This window comes from Homo sapiens, chromosome 20, assembly GCF_000001405.40.
Source record: "Homo sapiens chromosome 20, GRCh38.p14 Primary Assembly".
Classification (NCBI taxonomy): Eukaryota; Metazoa; Chordata; class Mammalia; order Primates; family Hominidae; genus Homo; species Homo sapiens.
In genome coordinates this window covers 14,466,423-14,481,900 of record NC_000020.11, presented here as the reverse complement: position 1 = coordinate 14,481,900, position 15,478 = coordinate 14,466,423, and the positions used below count along the sequence as shown (strand labels likewise).

At 38.9% G+C, this 15,478-nt stretch overlaps 1 protein-coding gene across 3 annotated transcripts in view, besides 3 other annotated features; it reads right to left on the bottom strand.

Annotated features, from left to right (window-relative positions):
- MACROD2 (mono-ADP ribosylhydrolase 2) overlaps positions 1 to 15,478 on the bottom strand; it is a 2,057,682-nt gene that overhangs the window by 1,571,297 nt on the left and 470,907 nt on the right. The window lies entirely within an intron of this gene.
- Positions 10,189 to 10,748: an enhancer, noted in NCBI's record as "NANOG-H3K4me1 hESC enhancer chr20:14451799-14452358 (GRCh37/hg19 assembly coordinates)". NCBI's record gives its function as "activates a minimal SCP1, AML or CMV promoter by ChIP-STARR-seq in naive H9 embryonic stem cells {active_cell/tissue: H9 hESC(naive)}" and the evidence as "EXISTENCE:reporter gene assay evidence [ECO:0000049][PMID:30033119]".
- Positions 14,129 to 14,628: an enhancer, noted in NCBI's record as "H3K4me1 hESC enhancer chr20:14447919-14448418 (GRCh37/hg19 assembly coordinates)". NCBI's record gives its function as "activates a minimal SCP1, AML or CMV promoter by ChIP-STARR-seq in primed H9 embryonic stem cells {active_cell/tissue: H9 hESC(primed)}" and the evidence as "EXISTENCE:reporter gene assay evidence [ECO:0000049][PMID:30033119]".
- Positions 14,629 to 15,130: an enhancer, noted in NCBI's record as "H3K4me1 hESC enhancer chr20:14447417-14447918 (GRCh37/hg19 assembly coordinates)". NCBI's record gives its function as "activates a minimal SCP1, AML or CMV promoter by ChIP-STARR-seq in primed H9 embryonic stem cells {active_cell/tissue: H9 hESC(primed)}" and the evidence as "EXISTENCE:reporter gene assay evidence [ECO:0000049][PMID:30033119]".

Here is a 15,478-nt window from a genome sequence, read left to right as displayed (position 1 = left end):
CATCTATTATGTATCAGGCAATGTTTAAGATTTGATCTTTATGATATCTTAATCCTCCAAATAATCTTGCAAATTGGGAATTTTACTTTTCCTATAACAAATGATGAAACTGAGGCTATAGTGAGGTTAAGTTATTTGCCCAAGGTCATGGGCTGGTAAGTAACTATTCAATCCAATGCTTGAGTCCTTTCACCCAACATCAAACAAATGTTCTTTTTAGTATGCTAGACTATATCTTAAGGAATTATTTTATTTCTCCCAAATTATTTCAAAATAGATGGATATCCAATGCCCACAAAAAGCAATGTATCCAGTTAACACCAATGTCAAAGGCAGTATTACTGGTTTTTAAACCAAAGTTACCAGAAAAAATAGCATTTACATACATCATACAACTTAAAATTGTAAAAATTTAAATATTTCGCCATACCTTTCCCATATTATTTACTAACATTATTATAATCAGCAATTTTGATCTCACAAAATCTGGAATTATCTATAAGAGATCATACTCCTTTGAAATATTACATTTAATATCCTGATAACCTTAGCCAAATTTTGACATTTAAAAAGATGAAAATTCTCAGTATGACTTCAGGTAATATGAACAATTAAACATACATCGCTATTAAAGAGGGCATATATTTCTTAATTATCAATGCTGAAAGACTTGAGCTAAATTTAGATTTATGAAAACAATAATAAATACTACATTAAAGTTTGGCTTTCATCAAATAAATGCAAACTGGCTAACCTAAGATTTTATATGCTTATTGCAAAATACACAAAATGAAAGTAAAATATATGTTTTCATTTGTCCTAAGTTTTCTATCGTTAGCACTCCTCATTCTTGACTTTAGGACAATCAAATAGAGAATCTTCATCATAACCTGAAGTAGCAAATAAAAAACCATAATTTTTCTTTCCTAAATAAGTCTAATTATTTAATTTCAAATTGTAGTTGGCTTCTATTAATATATAGTAAAATGTTAGTTACATTGTTCAAGGATGAAATAAATACATTATTATATTTATATCGACTGTAAGTATAAAATAGTCATCTCCTTTAAGACATGGAAAAATATAACTTTATGAGTATCAAGTTTAATTATTTACCATACAAGACACACTTTTTTTCTGTACACAGGAGACAAATTATAATTTGCATCCTCTGGACATCAAAAAATACCAATTACTTTTGTATTACAGTTCCATCAGGCCAGCTGTGGATTCTATAATAGAGATTAGTTTTAGTCTGCTGCATTGAAAAGCACTGATATTAATCTCAGACAGAAGTATTATCATTGGTGAGAAGCTGATTACTGACTACAGAGGCTTTTAAAAATTATTATTATTTAACAAATCTCTCAGGATAACTAAATAATACTTACTAAAACTAGTTGTAATTCTAATGTCACTCTGAGACTTCTAAAGACCAGAAATAAAACAGATGCAGCAATAGGTAATAAGAGAATTTGCATATGGTATTCCAGATGCAATAGATGTGGTGTCTACCAAAAGAAGTATTTAATATTAATCCTTAGTTTCATCAATAGTTATATAATTTTGGGCAAATTACTGAAACCTCTATGCCAATTATAAAGAATACAAATTATAATTTAATTATTTAACAACCATTTTTCAGGTAGTCACTGTTTGTGGCTGTTCTGGAACGATTGCTGGAAATAAACAGGTAAGTAAAATAGTCACATTAAATTATATAACTATAGGCCAGGTGTGGTGGCGTAATCCCAGCACTTTTGGAGGCTGAGGCAGGAGGATTGCTTGAGCCCAGGAGTTCCAGTCTGTGCAACATAGAGAGACTCTGTCTCTACAATAAATAAATAAACAAATACATTGCTGGGCATGGTGGCATGCACTTATTAGTCCTAGCTACTCAGGAGAATGAGACAAGAATATTGCTTGAGCCCAGGAGTTTGAGGTTACAGTGAGCTATGATTGCGCCATTGAACTCCATCCTGGGTGATAAAGCAAGACCTTGTATCTTATTTAAAAAAAGATATAACTATAGTAAATAAATCTATAAAGTATATGTTGTTATTTTTATAATACATAATATTTAAACATCAGAATCATGATGTTGAAGATTTTTTTTAAAATTTTTTACAAGTTGATGAGAGATTACGATATTCTATTTTGCAAAATTCTGCCCTCTCAGATGAAGCTGAAGTCTGGTGAAGATAGCATAATTTGTTTTTTCTGGTTCCTCCTCCCACCCACTCCTGCTAAATACAACTGTAAACGCTGGAGATAATGCGAGAGGCAACCAAAGGAGAACTCTGAAAGGTGCAAAAGGAGGGTGAACTGATTAGAGAACCCAGGTCTGGAGGAACAGCATAGTTGCAGGGCATCTTACAACCTCCCACCAAAAGGAAGAAGGTGACCCAGGGCCAGCATTCCCTGACATCCAATGTAGCAACAGAAGGCAGCCCAAGTAGGCTCAGTCCTCCCTGGGATTGAAGAGGAGCCCCACTGAAGATAAGCTGATGAACCAGCAGGAAAAATGTTCTCCTTCTCAACAGGGTCTGAGACTCCCCTCTCCTACCAGAAGACACAGGACAGCACCAGCACGGGGCATCAGGCCTCAACAAGCACCTGCCAGGATGATCTACGGACCTGACTTTCCTCTCCAACACCAAGGGACACTGATGGCTGGGGAGCACAGGCACTGGGGAATCTTACCACAAGCACCCAGCCCAGGAAGGGCTTTCCATCTCCCACAGACAGGAGGCATCCTGTCTCAACAAGCTTCTGGCCTCAGAAGTCATTTCTTTTCCACCAGGCCTGAGAATCCCCTCCTTCACCAGGATACTTGTGGGTGGGAGATGCTGGTGAGGGAGGTGTGGAGGGGAATCTCCACCACAATAAGTAGCTAGGCCTGGAAGCACTCTTCATCCAGTCAGACCAGAGACTTTCTTTTCCCCACCTAGAAACATAAAGAAGCCTAGCCTAGAAAAATGTGTTCTGTCCCCTCAGGCATCACAGTATAGACCCCTGGGAGCCCCACCAGCACCAGATACACAAGGCCCACCAAAATAAGACCAAAAAATCTTGGAAAATTAAATTGTCCTTAGAACTACTGCCCACTAAAGTAGGCTAGGACCTACGATGTAAACCTAACAGAGTTACTACCTACTAAAATAAGGGATTTAAATAGGACCCAGAGTCTCCTAAAATGAACAGAGCCTCAGAAACCCATGGGACAAAACCAAAAGATCCCAGAAGTTGAGAAAGAGAGTAGGCCCTGAAGGAGTACTGAAAGACACAATAGCTGACAATGTCACAAATTTTGTGAAAGAGATAGACCAACAGATTCATGAAGTGAACCCCAAATAAGATAAGACAAATAAGATAAATTTTTTAAAAAATCCATGCTATAATTAAACTTCTGAAAACTAAACACAAAGAAAAAAAAGCTTGAAAGCAGCCAGAGAGAAACAGAACATTTCCTATAAAGGAACACCAATTCAAATGACAGCAGATAGTCCTTAGCTGGCAGCCCCTTCAAGAATTACCTCAGCAGAAAACAGCTGCCTCACTCTAGATCATGCCCCTTCCCTGGGTGGCTCATATCCAATATCTTGGGGATATGAGTCTTGGTCCTCTGCCCAGTGCTGATACTTATGGGGATATAAAGGCCCAGGCCTTGCCCCAACTCAAGACAACTTTGAAGGGCCATCTCAGCTTCCTAAAGGTTCACCTGAGGGCTTTGTTGAGACTACAACAGAGTTCAACTTCTCCCACTACTCAGTTTTGCCTCCTTTTCCATTCTTTCACAGGTTTTTATCCTAAAAATGTTCCCTGAGTAATATCCTGCATGCTAATCTTTACCTTTATCTCGGAGTCTGCTTTCTAGGGTACCTACCCTTCAACCATAATCATGGGAGTGGGTAATAGCAGGAAAAAGCAAGGCCTAATCGGGAGGCATTTAAACTAAATGGAGTGAGTCTTTGACCACTGGAAGCTCCCTTTACAATATGGGGCATCTGATACCTCTTTGCCCTTAGTTTTAGTTTTCAATTCCAGTGCAATAAGAAAAGTATCCCTTAACATCTTACAGCATTCGGCTAGTTTGAACCTTCATTTACAAATGTTGCTTTAAATTACAATTCTAACATTTTAATTTTTAAATTAGACTTCAAACCTCCAATGAGTAAAATTAAAATTAATATATAAAATATTAACGATAATGATGCCAGTGTATGGAGTCATTGTTAGAGCAAGTATAAAAAGTATAATTTTGAATACTTTTTAAATGAAACAGTATAAAAATCATTCTGAAAACAATTTTTTCTTTAAAAAAATACCTAGAAAGAAGTAGACCTATACAAATTTGTGTGGAGGAAGCAAGGAAGCAAGTTCTTGGACACGGAACTATTCTTACAGATCTGAATAATGTAAATAACAAGAGCCTGATGTTTTCTATGTAAAATCTTGTGCTACAACTTTAAAATTTCAAAACGTAGTAATAGTTTACCTCTTACTCAATGAACAGTGTTGTGCTAGCCTTGAGAACTTGCTGAAATCATGCCACAGATGACTGATTTTCTTAGAGAACACTTGGTGATCTCATTGCCCCCAGTGCCCAGAGAGTCATCACAAGCCACTCTAATTCATCCCAACCTTTGTATGTTTTGATTGAACTCCCTGGAATCTTGAAGCTTCCTGTTTTCTTAATCTCATGATAGTACCCTCTTCGCTTGTGCATTTGAACTCCTACTATGCTTAACTAATGCTACTTACCAGGCCCTTCCAGTAGCCAAACTCTGTCCAGTCCCCTTCCCGCCTCCCAATTCTCTGGACACAAGAGACCACTGCAGAAAGATTATTCTGATGTTAACTCTCACTGCCTAGTAGTCAATACTCTCTACTTCCTCTGTGGTACCTGAGAGACTGACAGTCTCAATTATGCCATCAGCCTGAGCTATAATTCACTCTTTCTGCCACATCTTGGCCTTTTACTGTGATTCTGCAAAAATGATACAGGTATGGATAATAATAAAGTTGAATATGTGTTTTAATACAAAGAAACATTTCTTAATAGAAGGATGAAAGGATTAGACCAAATTACCTTATTTATTCCTCTCTGTTTAGTTAATCCACTCTATTTTTGTTCCTCATTAAAATATTAAGTCAGATATTGCTCACTGTTTCTGCCCACCAGGTTAGTGGCAGAATCAGTACCAACTGACTGTGAGTCAAATTATAGAAAGAAAGGTAATACGCCGGGCATGGTGGCTCACGCCTGTAATCCCAACACTTTGGGAGGCTGAGGTGGGCGGATCACTTGAGGCCAGGAGTTCGAGACCAGCCTGGCCAACATAGTGAAACCCTTTCCCTACTAAAAATACAAAAAGTTAGCTGGGCGTGGTGGTGCATACTTGTAATCCCAGCTACTAGGGAGGCTAAGGCATGAGAATCGCTTGAGCCTGGGAAGCAGAGGTTGCAATGAGCTGAGATTGCGCCACTGTACTCCAGCCTGGGTGACAGAGGGAGACTTTGTCTCAAGAAAACAAAAGGTAATAAATGAAGGTTTACTCATTTATTCATTTCTAAGCTACAAAGTGATTAGTAGCTCAGTAGTCAAGACTAGATAGCATGCAGTTGCATAATATTCAGGAAACTCAGTATATTTGTTGTTTAAAAAATTTAAAACAGTGATATGTTTCTTTTCAGTTCTACAGTTTAATTCTAATAAACTTACCATTGCTACTAGTTTTTATAAAGACAATATTTCTAATTGGTAATTTTTAAAGTGAGACAATAAACTCCAAAAGAATATATCAGACAGATATATTCAGCAGTTGGTTCAACTTACCTCTTCTAAAGTTGTTAATCTCATGACTTCTAAAATATTTTCTAAATATTCATTTATATAGAGGCATGGCTCATGTTTTCATTCAAATTGATCCTCAAATTTAAAACTTTTTAGTGAATATTCAGGTACAGGAAAGTTTTAAAGGTCACCAATCAGATTCAAACCAAATAACACTACCCCAAGACTCTGAAAGGTCTTGGGGTAGTGTTATATCAGACTCTGAAAGGTTGAAAACAAAGAGAAGATCCTGAAAGCAGTAAGAGAAAAGGAGCAAATAACATATAAGGGAATTCCAATACATCTGGCAGCAGACTCCTCAAGAGGAACCTTGTAGGCCCAAAGGGAGTGGGATGATATATTCATAGTGCTAGAGTTAGAAAAGCTGCCAAAAATACTGTATCCACCAAAGCTTTCCATCAGAAATGAAGGAGAGATAAAGACCTTCCAAGATGAACAATTAATTGCTATCAGACCTGTTCTTAAAAAAAAAAATGCTAAAGGGAGTCCCTCAAACTGAAAGAAAAGGATGCTAATGTGTGAAAAGATGCTAATGTGCAAAAAGATGCTACTGTGTGAAACTATCTGAAGGTATAAAACTCACTGATAAAAGTAACTTTGCAGACAAACTAGACTTAATTTAATATTTACTCTAATACTGTAATCATGGTGTGTAAACCACTTGTATCTTTAATATGAAGACTAAAAGAAAAACTATTAAAAATAATTATATTAATTAATTATGGTATAGGCAACATAAAAAGATGTAAATTGTGACATCAACACTTCAAAATATTGGAGGGAATGGAGTTAAAGTATACTGGGGTTTTTTGTGTGATTCTTTTCTTTTTAAGGTAAGTTGTTATCAGTTTAAAATAATGTGTTATAACTGTAAGATGCTTTATGCAAGCCTCACGGTAACCACAAAGTAAAAACCTATAAAAAACAAAATACAAATAAGAAACAAGGAATCAAAACACACTATTAGAGAAAACCACCTAATCACAAAAAAGGAAAGTAAGAGAAAAAGAAAGAAAAGATCTACAAAACAACTGGAAAAAAAAATAACAAAATGGCAGGAGTACACCCTTACCTATCAACAATTACCTTGAACATAAATGGATTAAATTCTGCAATTAGAAAACATAGAGTGGCTGAATAAATTTAAATACATGCTGCCTACAAGAAACTCACTTTACCTGTAAGTAAATACATAGCCTAAAAGTGAAGAAATGGAAAAAGACTTTCCATGCAAATGGAAACCAAAAAGAACAGAGGTGGCAACATTCATTGCAGATAAAATAGACTTTAAGTCAAAAACTGTGAAAAGCAACAAAAATATATTGTATAATGATAAAGGGGTCTATATAGGAAGAGGAAATAAAATTGTAAATATGTATGCACCCAACATCAGAGCACCTAAATATATAAAGTAAATGTTAATAGACCTAAAGAAAAAGATAGACTGCAATAACATTAACGGTAGAAGACTTTAATACCCCACTTTCAGTGATGGACAGATCCATCCAAGCAGAAAATCAACAAAGATACATCAGAGTTAAACTGCATTCTAACCAAATGAACCTAAAGGACATTTATGGAACATTCCAACATCTGTAGAATATACATTCTTCTCAATAGCATATGGAACATTTTCCAGGATAGACCACATGTTAGACTACAAAACAAGTCTTAACAAAATTTTAAAAATTGAAATTGTATCAAATAACATTTCTGGCCACAATGAAATAAATGTAAGATCCAAAACTATGAAACTACTAGAAGAAAACAAACACTTCATAACATAACATTAGCTGGGCAAGGTTTTTTTGGATAAGACCTCAAAATCACAGGCAACGAAAATAAAAACAGACAAATTGGATTAAATGAAACACAAAAGCTTCTGCACAGCAAAGGGAAACAATCAACAGAATGAACAGACAAACTGGCAAAATGGGAAAAAAAATATTTGCCAGCTATGCATCTAACAAGGGGTTAATATCCAGAAAATATAAGGAACTCAAGCAGCTCCAAAGCAAAAAAAAGTAAAAAATAATAATAATAAAATAATCCAACTATAAAATGGGCAAAAGATCTGAAGAAGCATTTCCCAAAAGAAGACATACAAGTGGCCAACAAGTGCATGAAAACATGCTCACCATCAATAATCATCAGGGAAATGCATATAAAAACTAAAAGGAGACATCATCTCACTCCAGTTAGAAAGGCCATCATTAAAAAGACAAAAGATAACAAATGCTGGCAAGGATGTGAAGAAAGGGGAACTCTTACACACTGTTAGTGGATATGAAAAGTAGTTAAGCTATCATAGACGACAGTATGGAGGTTTCTGAAAAATTTAAAAATAGAACTACCATATGATCCTTTAATCCTACTTCTAGGTATCTATCCAAAGAAAATGAAATCAGAATGTCAAAGAGACATCTGCACTCCAAGTTTGTTAGAAGCATTATTCACAATAGCCAAGAAAGAGAATCAACCTAAGTGTCTATCAACATATGAACAGATTGAAAAATTTGGTGTCCATACACAATGGAATACTATTCAGCCTTAAAAAACAAGACAGTTCTGTCACTTGCAACAATATGGATGAACTGGAGGGCACCATAAGTAAAATAAGCCAAACATAGAAAAATAATTACCCCATGACCTCACGTATATGTGAAATCTAAAAAAGTTGATCTCATGTAAGTTGAGAATAGAATAGTGGTTACCAGCGGCTGGGAAAGGCAGGAGGCTACAGGTGGATGTGGAGAGGGTGGTCAGCCAGTATAAAGTTACAGTTAGATAGGAGGAATGAATTCCAGTTCTATTGCACAGTAGGGTGACTGTAGTTAACAATAAATAATACATTACATACTTCAAAGTAGCTAGAATATGGGATTTTGAATATTCTCACCACAAAGATATAATAAATATTTGAGGTTGATCATTACATATTGTATACATGTATTGAAACATCACGTTCTACTCCATAAATATGTATAATTACTATGTGTCAATTAAAAATAAAATAAAACTTTTAAAAATATAAATAAATAAACCTCTTAGTGAGGGTCTTGACTATAAAGTCCGAATCTACCTCTCCAGCCTCATTATCCTCCCTTCCTACCTTCTTACATCTTCCAGGCCCAGACCACACACACAGTCCCACACTCACACCTACATACACACATACACAAAAACACCTGAGTTTAATGCCACGCAGCTCACTCACCAGGACCACCAAATACCAGGCTCCTTCATCATTTCATGATTGCTATAAGCAGTGTTTCTGCCTTCATTCCCTGGACAAATTTCTATTTAACAATTAAGACTCACCTCAAATGTCATTCCCTCTGTAACACCTTTTCTAACTCCTTCAGGCACAATTAGATAGTCCTTCTTATGAAGGTCCAAGTATGAACACAAGCTTTTGTACAACACTTATCCCATAAAATTTTAATTAATTATTTTTCTGGGTCCAACTCCATTAGACTGTGAACTTACCAAGAAAAGTGATTACAATGTATTCATCTCTTTTTACCCAAGGCCCACATTAATAAATAGGCTATTTCCCAGTATATGATTGTGGGGATTAAAAAAGATAATTAACTAATGCACTTAGTAGTACATATAAAGCATTCAACATATGCTGGAAATTGTTTTCCTAAGTATTAAAAACAATGCCAATTTTACAGTAAGCATTCTGTAAATGCTTAGTAAATGAATAAAACAGGAACGAACAAATGAATGTTTGAAAAAATGCATTGCAAACAGAACTAAATAAAAATAAAGCAAAAAATATGACTGTAACAATCCTATCATTACAGAAGTAAATATTCCTCACAAAGATTGAACAGATTGCTTATTCTAAACAGTAATCAGTTGCTAGATTATTACACACAGAAGAAAATCAAAATATTAAAATTAGTTAGAATTATAAGGAAGAAATTTATTCAACAGAAACTTAAAATTTGTTGAAACTCCCCTGAATGCTAATTAAGATTTCCTGAGTTGGTTCTTAAGGAAATACTTTTAATAAGTCAATGCAGACCAACAGTTGTCTCCTTTGCAAATTTTAAATCATGTAAATCATGCTGAACATCATAGCTAACAAAAAGAAAATAATGCTGATTTTATTTCTTTTATTTCTTTTATTTTCCCAAGCAAAAATAGTGAATTATTTTTAAAACCTTGCTGTCCCATTTGTATACATTTTCAAGATTAATAAGTTAATCATTTTTAGAAGAGATTTTTCATGTTTTACCCCTCAATAATTTTCCCCTAAAGGTAGTTTCCTATGTCAGATAACTACACGTTAGAAAGAGTACCTTCTAACCTTAGAACCTTAGAAGGCACTCCTAAGGTTCATTTTTGTTTTAACATTTGTATGCTTGAATTCATAAATCAATGAAACAAAAATTAGTAAAATTCGCATGAACTTTTATTTTGTTGCTTAGAATGTTGCACCATAATTCATGATAACAGTGCCATCAATTAACAGAAGCAGCAAAGATACTACTTAGAGACATCATTCTAAATGTTAATAATGCCCCTAGGAACCCTCTATTGTAACTGAAGCCCATTAAACCTCACATAGAAGGCATAATGCCAGTATTTAAATAAGAAAAGGCTCATAATGCTGTTGTCATTCAGCATGTCAAAATCTATCAGAAAGGGCTGGCAAGATGGCCAAATAGGAACAGCTCCGGTCTACATCTCCCAGTGAGATCAATGTAGAAGGCGGGTGATTTCAGCATTTCCAACTGAGGTACCTGGCTCATCTCATTGGGACTGGTTAGACAGTAGGTGCAGCCCACGGAGGGCTAGCCGAAGCAGGGTGGAGCGTTGCCTCATCCGGGAAGCCCAAGGGGTTGGGGAACTCCCTCCCCTAGCCAAGGGAAGCCCACAGGGATTGTGCCCTGAGGGACAGTGCATTCCCGCCCAGATACTACACTTTTCCCATGGTCATAGAAACCCACAGACCAGGAGATTCCCTCAGGTGCCTACACCACCAGGGCCCTGGGTTTCAAGCACAAAACTGGGCGGCCTTTTGGGAAGACACCGAGCTACCTGCAAGAGTTTTTTACATACCCCAGTGGCACCTCGAATGCCAGCAAGACAGAACTGTTCACTTCCCTGGAAAGGGGGCTGAAGCCAGGGAACCAAGTGGTCTAGTTCAGCAGATCCCACCCCCACAGAGCCCAGCAAGCTAAGATCCACTGGCTTGAAATTCTTGCTGCCAGCACAGCAGTCTGAAGCTGACCTGGGATGCTCGAGCTTGGTGGGGGAAGGGGCGTCCACCATTACTGACGCTTGAGTAGGCAGTTTTCCCATCACAGTGTAAACAAAGCCACCGGGAAGTCTGAACTGGGCAGAGTCCACCACAGTTTGGCAAAGCCACTGTAGCCAGACTGCCTCTCTAGATTCCTCCACCCTAGGCAGGGAATCTCTGAAAAAAAAGCAGCAGCCCCAGTCAGGGGTTTATAGATAAAACTCCCATCTTCCTGGGACAGAGCACCTGGGGGTAGGGGCGGCTATGGTCGCAGCTTCAGCAGACAAACGTTACTGCCTGCTAGCTCTGAAGAGAGAAGATCTTCTAGCACAGCACTTGAGCTCTGCTAAGGGACAGACTGCCTCCCCAAGTGAGTCCTCGATCCCCGTATCTCCTGACTGGGAGACACCTTCCAGAGGGAGTAAACAGACATCTCATATAGGAGAGCTCCGGCTAGCATCTGGCAGATGCCCCTCTGAAACCATGCTTCCAGAGGAAGGAAAAGACAGCAATCTTTGCTGTCCTGCGGTCTCTGCTGGTGATACCCCGGCAAACAGGGTCTGCAGTGGACCTCCAGCAAACCCCAGCAGACGTGCAGCAGAGGAGCCTGACAGAAGGAAAACTAACAAACAGAAAGGAATAGCATGAACATCAACAAAAAGGATGTCCACACAAAAACCCCATCAGAAGGTCACCAACAGCAAAGACCAAAGGTAGATAAATCCACAAAAATGAATAAAAAACAGCTCAAAAAGGCTGAAAATTCCAAAAACCAGAATGCCTCTTCTCCTCCAAAGGATTACAACTCCTCACCAGCAAGGGAACAAAACTGGATGGAGAATGAGTTTGATGAATTGACAGAAGTAGGCTTCAGAGGGTGAGAAATAACAAACTCCTCCGAGCTAAAGAAGCGTGCTCTAACCTAATACAAGGAAGCTAAGAACCTTGAAAAAAGGTTAGAGGAATTGCTAACTAGAATAACCAGTTTAGAGAAGAACATAGATGACCTGATGGAGCTGAAAAACACAGCACGAGAACTTCGTGAAGCATGATACCTTATCAATAGGTGAATTGATCAAGCAGAAGAAAGGATATCAGAGATTGAAGATCAACTTAATGAAATAAAGCATGAAGACAAGATTAGAGAAAAAGAGAATGAAAAGGAATGAACAGAGCCTCCAAGAAATATGGGACTATGTGAAAAGACCAAACCTACAACTGATTGGTGTACCTGAAAGTGACAGGGAGAATGGAACCCAGTTGGAAAACACTCCTCAGGATATTATCCAGAACTTCCCCAACCTAGCTAGACAGGCCAACATTCAAATTCAGGAAGTAGAGAGAACACCACAAAGATACTCCCCGAGAAGAGCAACCCCAAGACACGTAATCGTCAGATTCACCAAGGTTGAAACGAAGGAAAAAATGTTAAGGGCATCCAGAGAGAAAGGTCAGGTTACCCACACAGTGAAGCACATCAGACTAACAGCAGATCTCTCTGCAGAAACCCTACAAGCCAGAAGAGAGTGGGGGCCAATATTCAACATTCTTAAAGAAAACAATTTTCAACCCTGAATTTCATATACAGGCAAACTAAGGTTCATAAGCAAAGGAGAAAAAAAATCCTTTACAGACAAGCAAATGCTGAGAGATTTTGTCACCACCAGGCCTGCCTTGCAAGAGCTGCTGAAGGAAGCACTAAATATGGAAAGAAAAAACCGATACCAGCCACTGCAAAAACATACCGAATTGTAAAGACCATCGATACTATGAAGAAACTGCATCAACTAAAATAACCAGCTAGCATCATAATGCCAGGATCAAATTCACACATAACAATATTAACCTTAAATGTAAATGGGCTAAATCCTCCAATTCAAAGACACAGGCTGACAAATTGGATAAAGAGTCAAGACCCATCGGGGTGCTGTATTCAGGAGACCCATGTAATGACACACATGTAATGACACACATAGAGGCTGGGCGTGACAGCTCACGCCTGTAATCCCAGCACTTTGGGAGGCCAAGGCGGGTGGATCACAAGGTCTAGAGTTCAAGACCAGCCTGGTCAACATGATAAAACCCCAACTCTACTAAAAATACGACAGTTAGCCAAGTGTGGTGGCATGTGCCTGTAATCTCAGCTACTCAGGAGGCTGAGGCAGAGAATTGCTTGAACCCGGGAGGCGGAGGTTGCAGTGAGCCAAGATCGAGCCACTGCACTCCAGCCTCGGTGACAGAGTGAGACGGTGCCCCCAACGCCCCCCCCCAAAAAAAGACACACAGAGGCTCAAAATAAAGGAATGCAGGAAGATTTCCCAAAAAAATGGAAAGCAAAAAAAAAAAAAGCAGGGGTTGCAATCCTAGTCTCTGATAAAACAGACTTTAAACGAAGAAAGATCAGAAAATAAAAAGAAGGGCATTACATAATGGTAAAGGAATCAATGCAACAAGAAGAGCTAACTATCCTAAATATATATGCACCCAATATAGGAGCACCCAGATTCATAAAGCAAGTTCCCAGAGACCTCTAAAGAGACATAGACTCCCACACAATAATAGTGGATGAATTTAACACCCCACTGTCAATATTAGACAGATCAACAAGACAGGAAATTAAAAAGGATATTCAGGACTTGAACTCAGCTCCGGACCAAGCAGACCTAATAGGCATCTACAGAACTCTCCACCCCAAATCTACAGAATATACATTCTTCTCAGCACCACATCACACTTATTCTAAAATTGACCACATTATTGGAAGTAAAACACTCATCAGTAAATGCAAAAGAACAGAAATGATAACAAACAGTCTCTCAGACCACAGTGCAATCAAATTAGAACTCAGGATAAAGAAACTCATTAAAAACCACACACCTACATGGAAACTGGACAACCTGTTCCTGAGTGACTGCTGGATATATAATGAAATTAAGGCAGAAATAAATAAGTTCTTCGAAACTAATGAGAACAATGACACAACGTACCAGAATCCTTGGGACACAGCTAAAGCAGTGTTTAGGGGAAATGTGAAGCACTAAATGCCCACAGGAGAATGCTGGAAAGATCTAAAATCAACATCCTAACATCACTATTAAAAGAACTAGAGAAGGGGTGGAGCCAAGATAGCCGAATAGAAACAGCTCCAGTCTACAGCTCCCAGGGTGAGTGACACAGAAGACAGGTGATTTCTGCATTTCCAACCGGGTTCACCTCACTGGGGAGTGCCAGACAGTGGGTGCAGGACAGTGGGGGCAGCGCACCATGCGTGAGCCAAAGCAGGGAGAGGCATCGCCTCACCCGGGAAGCACAAAGGATCAGGGAATTCCTTTTCCTAGTCAAAGAAAGGGGTGACAGATGGCACCTGGAAAATCGGATCACTCCCACCTTAATACTGCGCTTTTCCAACAGGCTTATCAAATGGCACACCAGGAGATTATATCCCGCAACTGGCTCGGAGGGTCCTACGCCCACGGAACCTCGCTCATTGCTAGCACAGCAGCCTGAGATCAAACAGCAAGGTGGCAGCGAGGCTGGGGGGAGGGGCGCCTGCCATTGCTCAGGCTTGAGTAGGTAAACAAAGCAGCCAGGAAGCTCGAACTGGGTGGAGCCCACCACAGCTCAAGGAGGCCTGCCTGCCTCTGTAGGCTCCACCTCTGGGGGGCAGGGCACAGACAAACAAAAGATAGCAATAACCTCTGCAGACTTAAATGTCCCTGTCTGACAGCTTTAAAGAGAGTAGTGGTTCTCCCAGCACTCAGTTTGAGATCTGAGAATGGGCAGAATGCCTCCTCAAGTGGGTCCCCAACCCCTGAGTAGCCTAACTGGGAGGCACCCCCGAGTAGGGGCGGACTGACACCTCACACAGCCGGGTACTCCTCTGAGACAAAACTTCCAGAGGAACGATCAGGCAGCAGCATTTGTGGTTCACCAATATCTGCTGTTCTGCAGCCACCACTGCTGAAACCCAGGAAAACAGGGTCTGGAGTGGACCTCCAGAAAACTCCAACAGACCTGCAGCTGAGGGTCCTGACTGTTAGAAGGAAAACTAACAAACAGAAAGGACATCCACACCAAAAACCCATCTGTACATCACCATCATCAAAGACGAAAGGTAGATAAAATCACAAAGATGGGGAAAAAACAGAGCAGAAAAACCGGAAACTCTAAAAATCAGAGCACCGCTCCTCCTCCAAAGGAACGCAGCTCGTCACCAGCAATGGAACAAAGCTGGACAGAAAATGACTTTGACAAGTTGAGAGAAGAAGGTTTCAGATGATCAAACTACTTTGAGCTAAAGGAATAAGTTTGAACCAATGGCAAAGAAGTTAAAAACTTTGAAAAAAAATTAGACGAATGGATAA